Source organism: Homo sapiens, chromosome 2 (genome assembly GCF_000001405.40).
Source record: "Homo sapiens chromosome 2, GRCh38.p14 Primary Assembly".
Taxonomy (NCBI): Eukaryota; Metazoa; Chordata; class Mammalia; order Primates; family Hominidae; genus Homo; species Homo sapiens.
The window spans coordinates 131,768,193-131,783,155 of NC_000002.12; the positions used below are offsets into that span (position 1 = coordinate 131,768,193).

A 14,963-nucleotide genomic window follows, 5' to 3' on the forward strand; every position below is an offset into this window, starting at 1 on the left:
CAAGCTTAAATTCTACATTTGCCTGCATAACTTGTTCATGGGACAGAGGGAAGTTTAGAGGCAACTGACCATTTGGAGTTTTAGGACAAATGATGCAAGAGGGCTTGGCATCTGGATGAGAAGTGGAGGGAGAATAGAACAAAGGCACAGAAGGAGAGAGCACAATGAGAAAGGGAAAGAGGGACATCTGGACATAAGGGCCAACTGGAGGGCAGGGAAGGTAATTTTCCTTACATTTTAAACTCAGACCACATATCACATCAGAATCACGTGAGGGAGACATTTTCAATGCATATTCCTGGGTTTCTTCTCTTGGAAGTTTTTATTTCTTAAATCTTGAGTTGTGCTGATTTATCCATATTTATCATAAGAATTTTGGATAATTCTTATTTAGGGAGGCCTAGGCAGGTGGATCACTTGAGGTCAGGAATTCAAAACCAGCCTGGCCAACATGGTGAAACTTCATCTCTACTAAAAATACAAAAATTAGCCAGGCATGATGGTGCACGCCTGTAGTCCCAGCTACTTGGCAGGCTGGGGCAGGAGAATCACTTGAATCAGGGAGGCAGAGATGACAGTGAGCTGAGATCATGCCACTGCACTCCAGCCTGGGCAACAGTGAGACTCCATCTCCAAAAAAAAAAAATTGTGGATAAATCTGATGCAGTTAGAAAACAAAGCAGAGCTTGACAACCACTGGGTTGGGACGTATATCAAGAAGACATTTGATTATGTAAAATAACTGCAAAACAAACTGAAGGGGAATTATTTTAAAATGCTTGAATATAATTATATAATTCAACTCTTCCTATGTATGTAGTTTGACCACATATTTGATGTCTGCTGTACTAAGATCGGAAATGTGTAGAAGTTTTTCTAAAAATCAGGTAGAAGCACAGAAAAAAGGAGTTGGAGAGAAAAGAAAACTAGCTGTTGTCTGGTAACAAGAGAAGAGAAGGGAAACGAAGTAGCATATTTTTGTTCATTGTTTGATGGCATCTAAATTATGATCCCAAATATTTTTTTCTAAGAAATCCAATAATACAAGTATTCAGAGTGGAGTACCAACACTGATTTACTGGGAAAGAGAAGTGTATTCTGTTTTGCTGCACAATGTTGAGGGAGAAGGAAAGGAAAATTAGTTGAGTAAACAAGAAAGAGACTGGTCCTCAGGGAAGCTGTCTGCCTGAAAAATCACAACTACTGCACCTACAGATAAGCCCTGCACAGATGAGCATGCAGGGTCCAGCACAGACGCCTTCTGTTCTTTGTGTAATTGGCAAGCTCCCAGGAAAAATTTTCCTCCCTTTTTCAGGCATATACACGGTGGCCTCTGTGGGAACTTACACAGGGAGGAGGGGGGCTTACCTAAAACAAACCCACAGTTATACAACAAGAGAAGCCCACTTTGTGCTTGACTAGAGAGATACCCACAGCTGGATATATGAAGGGAATTGTGCAGACAGTTTTATACATAGCTGAGAGGAGTTTCTTATAAAAGCTTTTTGATTCAACTGTAAAAACGGCAATCCACTTGGACGCCCTTGTCTGCTGCAGAGAGCTTCCTCCTTTTGCTTATTAAACTTTCACTCCAACCTCACCCGTGTGTCCCGGTTCCTTAATCATCTTGGTGGTGAGATAAAGAACTCCAGGTGATACCTCACAAGAGAGACTGCTACATTGTGGTGCCTTGGCGAGACTGCAACTTTAAGAAGTGTGACTTTTATTGCTGCTGAATTATTTTATCTCCTACCCAATTGAAAATAAAGGATATAAAGTGCTTAGGTTGAACACAAAGTCCTCTGCTCTAGGTAACATCTTCAGCAGCCACATTAGTAGAGGGATGGGTGGTAATGGTGGAGTAGATGTCTCTGCTTCTGACAGGGTGTCTGCTTATGTGTTAAACAAAATAGTATGCTATATATTTCATTAAGAAATCTGCTAAAAAATGAAGTAAAACAGGTTCATGTTCTTAAGAGGCACAGTATTTGCTACGGCAGCAAGACCAAAAGGCTTAAGTAGCAAAAATGTGCATAGTAGTTACAAACATTTTCATATAAACAAAACAATGTGAGCATCTGTATATGACAATAACTCATGCAAAAAATATTTTTAACTGAAATTGAAATCATACATAACAAATGTTATCACTGTATTCTGAGGTAATATATTGTTTGTATATAGATGTTATAAATAATAACTTGTTTAAGTTACTCATCATTTATACAACAAATAATTCTTTGGAATCTACAAAATGCTGGTTTTGTTCTAGGCACTGAATGTACAAATTGATTTAAAATATGTGTTCTTAGAGTGTGGTAGATTAAAAAATACAAAATAGGCCGGGCACAGTGGCTCATGCCTGTAATCCCAGCACTTTGGGAGGCCGAGGCAGGTGGATCACCTGAGGTCAGGAGTTCGAGACCAGCCTCACCAACTTAGTGAAACCCCATCTCTACGAAAAATACAAAATTAGCCGAGGGTGGTGGCACATGCCTGTAGTCCCAGCTACTCGGGAGGCAGAAGCAGGACAATCGCTTGAATCCGGGAGGTGGAGGTGGCAGTGAGCCGAGATTGAACCATTGCACTCCAGGCTAGGCAACAAGAGCAAAACTCTGTCTAATATCTATACATACATTTTGTATATATACATATATACATGTGTGTATATATATACATAATATATTTATACATATACATATATGTATATGTATATTATATATGCATATACATATACATATACATATACATATACATATACATATACATATATATGTATATGTACATATATATCTGTCTAATATATATACACATATACATATATATGTATATGTGTATATATACATACACATATATATGTATATGTATATATGTATATATATGTGTATATATACACATATATGTATACATATATGTATATATATGTGTATATATATACACATATATGTATACATATATGTATATATGTGTATATGTGTATATATACATATACATATACATATATGTGTATGTGTATATATACATATACATATACATATATGTGTATGTGTATATATACATATACATATATGTGTATATGTGTATATATACATATACATATATGTGTATATGTGTATATATACATATACATATATGTGTATATGTGTATATATACATATACATATACATATACATATATGTGCGTATGTGTATATATACATATACATATATGTGCGTATGTGTATATATACATATACATATATGTGCGTATGTGTATATATACATATACATATATGTGTGTATGTGTATATATACTATACATATATGTGTATATGTGTATGTATAGATACACATATACACATATATTAGAGGTTGTACTGCTGAAAACAAGAGCTATTAATAAAAAAATTTCAGGAAACGTAGTGTGATTATTTTTAATAGAAGTGGATATTTTAATACAGGTCTCTTGTTTTTTCTTGTGGAAATAAATGACAAGATGGAATTTCTGGGTGTTTGGTATCTGAATATTTAAGTATAGCAGGTATTGTCAGTTTTTCAAAGGCATTTTACCATCTTACTTGTCCATCGGCAACTCATAAGATATTATGTGGAACAACGTCCTCTCCAACAACCTCCAGTATCAGTCTTTGTAAAGTTTGTCAATTAAATGGGTGTTTTTTTGTTTTTGTTTTTGTTTTTTGAGACAGTCTCACCCTGTCACCCAGACTGTAGTGCTGTGGTGTGATCTTGGCTCACTGCAGTCTCTGCCTTCCAGATTCAAGTGATTCTCCTGCCTTGGCCTCTCAAGTAGCTGGGACTACAGGTGCCCCCCACCACACCCAGCTAATTTTTGTATTTATAGTAAAGACAGGGTTTCACCATGTTGGCCAGGCTGTTCTCAATCCTGACCTCAGATGGTCCACCTGTCTCAGCCTCCCAAAGTGCTGGGATTACAGTCATGAGCCACCGCACTTGGCTGGGTTTTCTTTTTCTTTCTTTTATATATATATATATACACACACACACACACACACACAAGTATATACATATATATATGTATACACACACACAGACACAAATATATATATATATATATATATATATATATATATATATATATATATACTTAAGTTATGGGATAAATGTACAGAACGTGCAGGTTTGTTACATAGATATACATGTGTCATGGTTTGCTGCAAAATGTGCAAAATGGGTGTAGGTTTTGCAGGTAATTATTGTATTATTAAAAGATAACAGAATACCTAGCTAAAAAAAAATGCGAGGAGGCATTGATGGGCACATGTTTACTGAGCACATCCTGACTCCAGAATTAGAAATCCAATTTATGCCTCTGCAGTCCAATAAAATTTTTCCTTAAGAATCCAGAGATCAGACTTTCATTTCAGCAAACACTCCAATATGGTTTCTCACCTACTCACTCCAACGAAGCTGTTCGTATCAAAACATAAGTGCTATGCATATTGTTAAATTATAAATTGAACCATAACTCCTCGGACTTCGTCTTAATTTATATATCAGCAGCATTTCACACAGTTGATCTCCTCCTCCTCTTTGTAAAACTTTTTTTATAGAATTCCAGAACACTTAACCTACTTTCCCTCCACCATGTTTTTGATAATTACCTCTAGTCCTTTTTTGCAGGTTTCATCTTTACTATTTTTTAAATGTCAGAGGACGATTAGGCTCACGACTTTGACTGCTTATCTTTCTTATCTTTGCTTTCTTACTGATTTTTGTGTCATTAATTTCCTGATATTTCACATTACACTTAAACACTGGACACTACACCCAGCACTCCCTGACTTATCCACATGGATGTCAGTTAGGAATCTCAAAATTAATATGTCTATATGGAGCCACTGAAACTCCCCAAATTTGCTCTTCCCCATTCTGTTTAATGGCAACTCCCATTTTATAGTTTCTCAGCTCAATATTCTTGGTGTCCCCTTTTAATTCTGTCTCTGTAGCTCTGTCACTCTCTTTCTGTATCTGATTCTCTCCCTCTCTCTCCTCTCTCTCTTGCTCACTGTCACTCTTGCTCTCTCTCCCTGCTTCACACACACACAAACACACACAGACAGACACACGCACACACACACACACACATTTTCAGATCTGATGTGTATGGAATTCCTGCCAGCTTTACCTTTAAAGTATAATAATTCCAAATGTTGTTTCCAAATTCACATTCCCACCCCCACCACTTGGTAACTATAGCGCTTCTCTCACAAGGCCAAGTGCAGAGATTTCTTGGGGAAATAATGAGAACTATTATACATTCTTATTTCAAGGACCCTTAAAATTATAGGATTACTATATTTGATACTAATTTAAGCTTCTGTCATTGCCCTTTTTTCAATCCAGTCTCCACACAGCTACCACAGTGTGCAAGTAGAAGTCTCAGCCGTATCACCACACTCCTGCTTTAATGTCCCTACTCCATTGCTTCTTTTCTTCTTCAGAAGAGTTTAAGCTTAATGAAGCTGGGCAACGTTACATATTTTTCCATGAGCTGGAGATCACTTGGTGTAAGGTAAATGATCAGTAAATATTTTCAAATAACAGAATCCAGGAATAATAGTTTTGTTTCTTTGAGAGTACATTTACTTTTAAAAATCAAGGAAATAGATTGGTCAAGAGAATTCTGCTTGTTTTGATTTTGTTATCGATTAGATTAGATTAGATTAGATTAACTGTGTTAGTATAAATGTCAGTGTGGAAAGCTATAAGCATTTCCTAAACTTTAAAATGAAAAGCATGGAATTTAAGTATCTGCTCCTTTTATTTGAGCAACCAAAAAGCACAACTTTTAAAATATATTTTAATTATGTATGAAATCTAAATTTATTTTTCTCTCTTTATCCCTGAATACTTTTTAAAGTTATTCATGTCCTCATTATTTTTAATCCACTTTAATAACATTTTAAAATATATTTTCAACTTCATTAAGAATATCTTTGTGTTCCACTGAATAGCTTGCCAAATAATAAAACATTAGCAGTATAATTTCCTCATAAACATTATTTAATTTGTTTGGTTAACCATAGATTTCCTACTCTCAACTCATAATTTCATTCAAGTATAATATATTCTACTTGACCTTTGCGGGGTTTTCATACCATGTATTTGTCATTGAAATTGGTTTTTGATATTTGAACCACTAGTTTATAATTGTATTGTTGGTTAGACTGGTCTGTAGAATCTTTCTTTGTTTTGATTCTGTGGTTTATTCATTACGGAGTAGCTGTGCTACTGTAAATTTTGAGGTCAAAAGCTTAAAACATTTTATGTGTTTTAAAACAAAGTGGATGGCATTTAAATATCTATTCCTTAAAATTTGGAAGAAAGGTTAACACCATATAAACCCAGAGCCTGTATTTTTAGATTAGTAGCATGTAGACATTTTCAATTTCTTCTAAAGTTGAAAAAAATAAATATTTTGTATTCATAGAATGCTTGATAACAGGAGGTAAATATTTAATTTTCACTTAAAAGAAATTTGGTTACACTGAAAGGAAATTTGGCTAATATAAGTTAGATACATTTCTAATTAAAACAATAATTTAAGATAAATAATGCTCAAAGAACAGTGGTCACTGCATTTATTCCAGAGAGAGGACATTTATCCTGATCTGGCTGTAATAACGTAGTAGGTAGAACTGCTGGCGTGGACACCCAAGCACGGACGGGAAGCTGGTGTCTCAAGGGGTCCCGCTGAGATAGAAAGGGGTCAGGGCCCAGACTGTTGATGTCGCCTGGACCCAACCACCATGTCTCAGAAGAAGAAATGACCCTCCCCTCCTGGTGCTGCCCCAAACAAGGAGCTTAGCAGTGTTGCACACAGGATAGTCCTTGCAGGAGACATGTTTGACAAGCTGCTGAGGTGCCTGATGGGGCCAGGCTCTTGTCATGAAATGAGTTTGCATCCTGAGGAAACCTTTTCATTGGAAACCTGGCAGGGATCCAATTTCCCTTTGCCTTAACCCCGTAGGAGCACAGTAGACAGGGAGGAGGTCACCCAGGTGGCTGTTCCTGCTTGGCCCCCACTTCCCAGACCATTCCAGGCACGGAGAGCCGCTGAGCTCACTCCATGGGCTGCCCACGTGGGGTCTGGACCCAGCCGCCCTCCTGTGCCTGGCAGGCAGCCCCTGCGCCATCACAGGACCCATTGTGTGGTGATCAGTGGCCCATCGCCTGCCCTCGTGGTGGGTGCAGTTCACAGGTGCTGCCCCAGGCCTGGCACAGTGGCCTTCTCAGCCTGTCCCAGGATAGGGGACATGAATGATCCTTGCCTGTGCCCCTTCGGACTACGTGAGTTTGGACACTCACTGCAGAAGTCCCTCCAGGTCCCTTTTCAACTGAGTTGTGGGGGACTTGCTTAGTCCTCACGCCCAGGGTCAGGGGAGGGGTGCAGAGTCTGCACCCTAAATCCGCTAGGGCCAGAGGGAGGTCTCCCAGGTGACCTCTGTCCTCTCCAGTGACATGAGTCCTCCCAGATGGCCTCAGCCCTCTCAGGTGACATGCTTCCATGGTGACTCTGGCCCTTGCAGGAGGTGGGCTAGCACAGGGACATGAGCTGCCTAACTGCCATCCTCCTCCTGTATCTGCCAGAGGAAGACACCTTCTGGGCACTGGATCAGCTGATGGCTGAGGAGAGGCACTCCCTGCAGGGTAGGCGGACAGCTACCCCCAGACCTCACACAGCCAGGCCATGGGATGGCCACCCTGGCTGGGCGATCCTGACTTCCAGGCAAGGCAGCTTCCTTGCTTTCCAGCTTGTCAGGAGCCTTCAGGACATCCCTGCTGAGGGTCCCACAGGAGCCCAGAGCTGAACAGGGACCCTTTCACTTCAAGGCAGGCACCTTTCATCCCCAACAGCAGAGGGCACTGCAGCCTCCCCCTGGCCACCCGGTGTGTCCCAGAGCCACAGCTCTCTAGCCCTGAGTTCATGCAGGTGACTGTCACTTCCGCAAGAGTCCTCCTACCTCCCAGCTGGCCACACTCCCAGCTGCCGTCCCAGCCCACAGATGGGCCAATGCAGTCGAGATGGCAGTGTCTGCCCAACCCATGTCCCCCAGCCCGACCCCATGTCTGGGAGAGGCCATGTAGCCCCTTGGCACCCACCCGGTTCCCTCCACTGGCCACTGCCTGCGTCAGCCCTGCCTCACAGCCTCAAAGGCAGGCCTGCCCTCCTGGCACCTCTACCCAGGATGCTGCTGTGCAGTGCCTCCGGCTAGGGCCCACCTCCGTAGAGCTGAGGCCACGTGTTAGGGTCACCTGATGGAAGGGAGGAAGGCCTCAGGGTCCGGGGTCCCCTGCCACTTCCCAGCTCTTCCAGCTGAGGGCTCCACATCTTGGGAGTGGGCTCTGATGCCTGATGGGTCAGGGGCTTCTCAGTTTTCTACAGCCCAAATACTGCCCAGCTCCAGAGGCTCCCATCCCACCAGGAGCAGGTATAACACAAATCCTTCCCAAAGATCATGCGGTACCTGCTGAGTGGATGACACCCTCAACTCTTTCCCAGAGGCCCGGGGTCCCATGGGGCAGGGAAACAGGGAAAGATGGAGCTCCTCGAGGGTCTGACAAGAGACTGAGTCCCAGCCAGGGCCTCGCCCAAGGTGAGGATTCTCCATGGGTTTGGGGTTGGGTTTTCTTTTCCTGCCCTGGAGGAGGAGGCAGAGGTACTAGGATGGGGGCTGAGCTCCAGCTGAGCAGGGTTAAAGGAAGTATGTCCACCAGGCATCTGTGCATGGGGGAGTTGTTGGGGAAGCACTGGCCACTGCCCAGTGTTCTGCCCCAGGGCAGCTCAGGGGGCCGTGAGCACCTATGGTCCAGGAAGGGCCGTGCATTGAGGTTTGTTGAGTTGGTTCCTCTGGTGTTTCATTGATGGGGTAAGGAGGCAAATGGAGACCCCAGGCCAGGGACCCTCCTGTCCCACAGTGCCCAGCTCCCCCAGGAGGGCCTGGCTCACCCCAAGCCCACAGGAAGCACAGGGAAGTTTCTGCATGGCACAGAAGCCAGGCTCTCCCCAAGAGGGGGCATCACACAGCAGGGGCCAGGCCTCAGGCCCAGTGCTATTTTCACATTATTCATTTTATAAGATGATATGGTTTGGCTGTGTTGCCACCCAAATGTCGTCATCTTGAACTGTAATTTCCATAAGCCTCACGTGTCATGGGAGGGACCCAGTGAGAGGTAACTGAATCATGGCGGCAGTTTCGCCCATGCTGTTCTCATGATAGTAAGTGAGTTCTCATGTGATCTGACGGTTTTATAAGCATCTAGCATTTCCCTTGCTTGAGGTGATGAATGCCCCATTTACCCTGATGTGATTATTACACATTGCATGCCTGTGTCAAACTATCTCATGTACCCCATAAATATATACACCTACTATGTACTCATAGAAATTAAAAATAAAAATAAATTTAAAATAAAAAGTGTGAGCTTTTAAAGGTGAGGTTTACCCTCCAACCCTGGTCCCTGCCAGGTGTGACCTTCACGTCATCTTTCCACATGGTCCAGGCCCCCATCTGCAGAGGCCAACAGTTCCCAGAGTGACCTTCCTCAGAAAACAGGGTCTTGGAGGAGACAGTTAGAGGAGGGGGCCTCATCCTCCCCACTGCACAGCCCCTCATGGGGATTGGAAAGTGAGGGTCTCTGCCCACAAGTTGGCAGTCACCCTAAGCTCTTTTGTGGGAGGAAGCATAGGGAATATAGGTCAGTGTTGGGGCAGCATTTTCTGATCCTGACTTGGAGAAGGTGTTAAAATCTTGACATTCCCGACTCCTCCTTTGTGAGAGCCCGTGCCCTGCAGGTCTCACAGGGTTGTTGTGAGGGTCACCTGTGGTGATGGGTTTGGAAGTGATTTGTGAATGACACAGTGGGCCTTCCTATTCCTGTCATTGGCCTTTCAACCTTCAATACTAATTGCCTGGGGATCTCCAGGCCTCAAGGTCTAATCCCGGAAGGGTATAAGGTGTCCCTAGTGGAGTATTCTACACCTCCTGGGAGGTCCCTCACTTCCACCTTCACCTGACATAACCCCTGCTCCTGTTCCCTCAGCCTGGAGAGCTTGCCCAGTAGAGCACAGGGTAGTACTGGACTGACCTCTTTGGAAAGGGTGATTACATCCTCATTTCAGCTCTCCCTCTTCCTAGCTTTCCACATAGAATTCCAGGGCTCCATGCAGCATTTGCTGGACATGAGAGGGAAAACTTTTAGGGCAGGGATCTGCCCTGGGTGGGGACAGAGGAGTATCGTGGAGTCTGGGTGTCAGGAGTGTGAGCGCTGCCCAGCTGGCCAGCCCCTGTCCCCATGCTGCTCGATGCATGATGTTTCCTGCACAAGCTTCCTTTTGAGGGAAGCTTCCAGAGTGACTGCAGTGAGGTCCATGCTGTTGGGGGTGACAGAGCAGCCCTGGAGGTGGCCAAAGAGAAGCAGGCAGAGGAAGCTCCTCCAAGCAGGCTTGGAAAGAAATTGCCGCATATCACTTACGTCACTCTTGCCACTAGAAGGACAATTTTTACAGGGGAGTGGAAGGAAACGAATATGCTGTGGGAGAGAAGGGATCCATCCAGAAGAGCAAGGCGGGAGGGGGAAATGTGCCCATTGCCAGAATTTCGTGTCTTTTGAAGACATTTGCCAGAATTCTACTTTTGAAGGCTGCCCCTTTTGATAGTCAGTTACTGAGGAACCTGTGGGACATTTTCAAAGCCTTTTATATTAAAAAAAAAAAACACAACATACTGCTGTGGGTCTGTGTGCAGGGACCACGAAGAGCACAGCTGCCACTGTTCTGTGTCGCAGATGCTGTGGGAAGTGCCTTAACACACAGAGGTTTGCTTCATGCAACTGGGTGAGGAACATCTCTAAAACAGTTTACAGTCAAGAAACTTCAGTGTCAAGGAGGTTGAATGCGTTATCCAAGATCACACATATGTCCTGACAGATTCGGGGTTCAGTGAAGAATTATGTATCATGAATTATAGGGCTGTATTTTAATTTTGCATTTTAAATTTCTGCAGTTTTCTTCCATCACTTTTCACCATGCATCCTATACTTGGAATTACTTTTTTTGGCTTCTTGATCTTCTTTACTTGTATGTTATTGATTTTCTACAAGTTTTAACATATACTATTAAAGAGTATTTCTTAATGTTTTAATAATTACCCTAGAATAAAATATATTTACTTTGATAGATGTATGTATTGGATATTACAGTGTATTGTGTACATTTTCAAGCACATTGTGTTATACCGGAAGCATTATTCAACAGTGGTCTTTTTTTCTTTTTACCTGAACTATGTTCAGAAAATCTTTCCACCGCAGTACAAAAAGATCGATTTCATTTTGTTAACAGATGGATGTGCCATAGGGCAATTAACTGTTTAGTTATCCTGTTATCCTGTTGTGGATATTTAAGTTCAAACAATGCAGTAATAAATATGCAAGAGTGCTTTCAGACATTAAAGAATATGGCTCTAAATTAGGGACCTAGTGCCTGTAATCCCAGCACTTTGGGAGGTCGAGGTGGGTGGATCACCTGAGGTCAGAAGTTTGAGACCAGCCTGGCCAACATGGCAAAACCCCGTTTCTACAAAAAATACAAAAATTAGCTGGGTATGGTGATGCGCACTTGTAGCCCCAGCCACTTGGGAGGCTGAGGTAGGACAATTGCCTGAACCCACAAGGCGGAGGCTGCAGTGAGCTGAGATGATGTCACTGCACTCCAGTCTGGGAGACAGAGTGAGACTCTGTCCCAATAATAAATAAATAAGTAAATAATCTAGAAGTACAATTGCTTAGCCAAATTGCTTATGCATTTTGAATGATGAGAGTTGCTGCCTAATTTCTGTTACAAAGGCTATGGTAATTTACACTCAAAACACAGAATTGGTTGGTTGTTGTTACAGACGGAGTCTTACTGTTGCCGAGACTGGAGTGCAGTGGTGTAATCCTAGCTCGTTGTAGTCTCCAACGCCTAGGCTCAAGCAATCCTCCCACCTCAGCCTCCCTCCCAAGTAACTAGGATTACAGGTGCATGCCACCACACCTGGCTAATTTTATTTTTAGATATGGGATCTTGCTCCGTTGCCCAGGTTGGTCTCGAAATCCTGGCCTCAAGGCGACCTCAGCCTCCAGTGTAGCTGACATTACAGGCATGAGACACTGTACCTGGCTGAATGAGTGCCTCTATCCTGACACTTGTGTCCCCACGGGATCCTGCAGAATTCAGGACCCCGTCCACACAGGGGAAAACTCTCTGTTGCGGTCCTGATGACTGAGGAGGGAGCTTACCCATGGCTCTCCTGGTCATTTTTATTTAATAGTGAGCGCAGAACCTCACATTTTCTGGAATGTTCCCATATGATTTTGTGAGAGAAAAGAGAATAGAGACCCAACCCCAAGCTCACTGTGTCAAAGGGAAAATTAAGCTTGGGAACTGAGTTACGCAATACTCCTTCCTTGTTCTCAAACACATAGCTATAACTTCACAACCCTGTGTCATAGCCTCATCCATAAGCCAGGTTCCCACAGTGACAGAAGGCCGCATGTCTCCTCACATGTCCTCCCTCACAATTTGCCGTGAGCCCCTAAATCTTTCAGAATGCACATCCCACCTATAAACTAGCCCTAAAAGTGAGTCAGCTCAATTTCACCCTGACAATCTCAATTACCAGGTTATTTTCATAGTTCTGGGACAAGGTCAGGACCAGAAATCATCCCTCTGCCTATCCTGAGATGAATGAATCATTGACTTTTCCTCTATTCCACTCCCTCTATTCACATGCTTACTTTATCTTATGTAAAATGAAGATTTACTGAATGCGACATGAACTGTTTCCTCTGCTCCCTCCTTTCCTATGTAAAATGTAGATATCCTGATGCTAATCAGAGCCACACAAGAATGCAAACATATGCTTCACTGCCTACCTTCAGTCTCACGGGAGTTCTCTGGATTTCTTGTATCAGCTGGTGGACCTCTCTAGCAAGATTGAGGACACTTTCCTGAATTATATCCTCAAAAATGTTTTCCAAGTTGCTTACATTCTCTTCTTCTCTGTTAGAAATGCCAATAAGTCAGCCAGGCACAGTGGCTCATGCCAGTAATCCCAGCACTTTGGGAGGCCAAGGTGGGAGTATCACTCGAGGCCAGAAGTTTGAGACCTACCTGGCCAGCATGGCGAAATCCCATCTCTACTAAAAATACAAAAATTAGCCAGACATGGTGGCACATGCCTGTAATCTCAGATACTTGGGAGGTTGAGGCACGAGAATTGCTTGAACCCAGGAGGTGGAGGTTTCAGTGAGCCAAGATCATGCCACTGCACTACAGACTGGGTAACAGAGTGAGATTCTGTCTCAAAAAAAAAAAATGCCAATAAGTCATAGATTTTGTTCCTTTACATAATCCTATATTTCTCAAAAGTTTGGTTCATTATTTTTAAATTCTTTTTTTTATTTTTGTCTGACTGGGTTGATTCGAAGGTCTGGTCTTTGAGCTCTTAAATTATTTTTTCTATTTGGTCTAGTCTGTTGCTAAGGCTGCCAACTGTTTTTTGAAATTCCTATAGTAAATTTTTCAATTCAAGAAGCTCTGCTTGGTTCTTTCTCAATATAGCTATGTTGTCATTCAAATCCAGGATCGTTGTTATGGGGTTGTTGTTGGATTCAACTTTCTGTTGGATTTTGGTGAATTTTTTTGCCACTTATATCTTGAATACTATACCTGTCATTTCAGACATTTCATTCTGGTTAGGACTCATTGCTAGGTTGCTGGTGTAATCCTTTGGAGGTGATGGAACATTCTGGCTTTTTGTATTGCCAGAGTTCTTGTGCTGGTTTCTTCTCATCTGGGAGACTTGATGCTTCTTTTGTTGAATTTGATATCATTTGGAAGGAGGTTTTTTTTTTTAATTTTTCATTCTTTCTTTCTCTTAAGGGTGTGACTGTGGTGTGTGTTGTATAGGATCAGTTTGCTTCATTTCTGGGTACTTTCAGAGGACCAAGGCTCTGTACAAGTTCCTTGGTTGCAGATAGGCTCCTGTGGTGGCTTGATGTGGTGATGTATTTTTGTTTGGTGGTGTAATTCAGGCTTCAGTGCAGTAGACAGTGCTTAAGAGTAACAGCTGGCTGCAGGGTCTTCTCCTCTGTGTACTTGTCCACGACAGGTGCAGAAGTGACAAAGTGCCAAAAGTGCCCTGTCCCCATGTGTACTAGTCTTCAGCAGGGGCAGAGTCCTGGAGAAACCTAAGAAGCAGCCTCTTTCAGCTCACGTTCCTTGGGCCCCAACAGGGTGACCACTACTGGGTCTGCAGCAGTGCACTAGGAAGGGGACAGAGGGCAAGAGATGACCACCTCTCTAAATCTGTTCCCAGGCTTTGGTGTGCCCCTTTCAGCAGCTGATGTCATGATCGTGTTTCCTTTGACCCAAGGGGTGGGTTTGGCAAGCTGTATTCCTCCTTCCCTTAGGGCTGGTCCTCACCAAAGTTTAGGTCTCCTGGGGAATGGGGTTCACCTCCCTCCTGCTTCTTGGAGCTGATGAGGTACTCTCTCAACTGACCAAGAGAGCAGGCTGGGACACCCAGCAATGACACACACAGACCAGTTCCAGGTTGCAAAGCTGTTCTTGGCTGCAAGTCTCACCGTCCTTGAGAAACCTCTGCTTTAGCAACTCTCTTCCCACTACAGTCCTGCAAGAGGAGAGAGCCTAATTCCAATACCTACTGCTGGGGCACTTTCCACACTCAACACTCAATTCTGGCTGTGGAGGCTGCTCCCCTGCTCCAGAGCAAGCACTTCAATTCCTAGCCCAAGATTAAAGTGTCTGCAGTGGCCACCATTGCCAGGCACCAAAGAATGATTGACTTTGTATGAGCCCAGATTAAAAATGGCATCCTTCGCTCAGTCCCAGGTCTGGGGAAATGCCTGCAGCTTTTCTGAGTGTCTTTCCTCTTTCC

The 14,963-nt window shown here is 43.1% G+C and overlaps 1 annotated feature.

Annotated features, from left to right (window-relative positions):
- Nucleotides 7,149–7,696: an enhancer, noted in NCBI's record as "H3K4me1 hESC enhancer chr2:132532914-132533461 (GRCh37/hg19 assembly coordinates)". NCBI's record gives its function as "activates a minimal SCP1, AML or CMV promoter by ChIP-STARR-seq in primed H9 embryonic stem cells {active_cell/tissue: H9 hESC(primed)}" and the evidence as "EXISTENCE:reporter gene assay evidence [ECO:0000049][PMID:30033119]".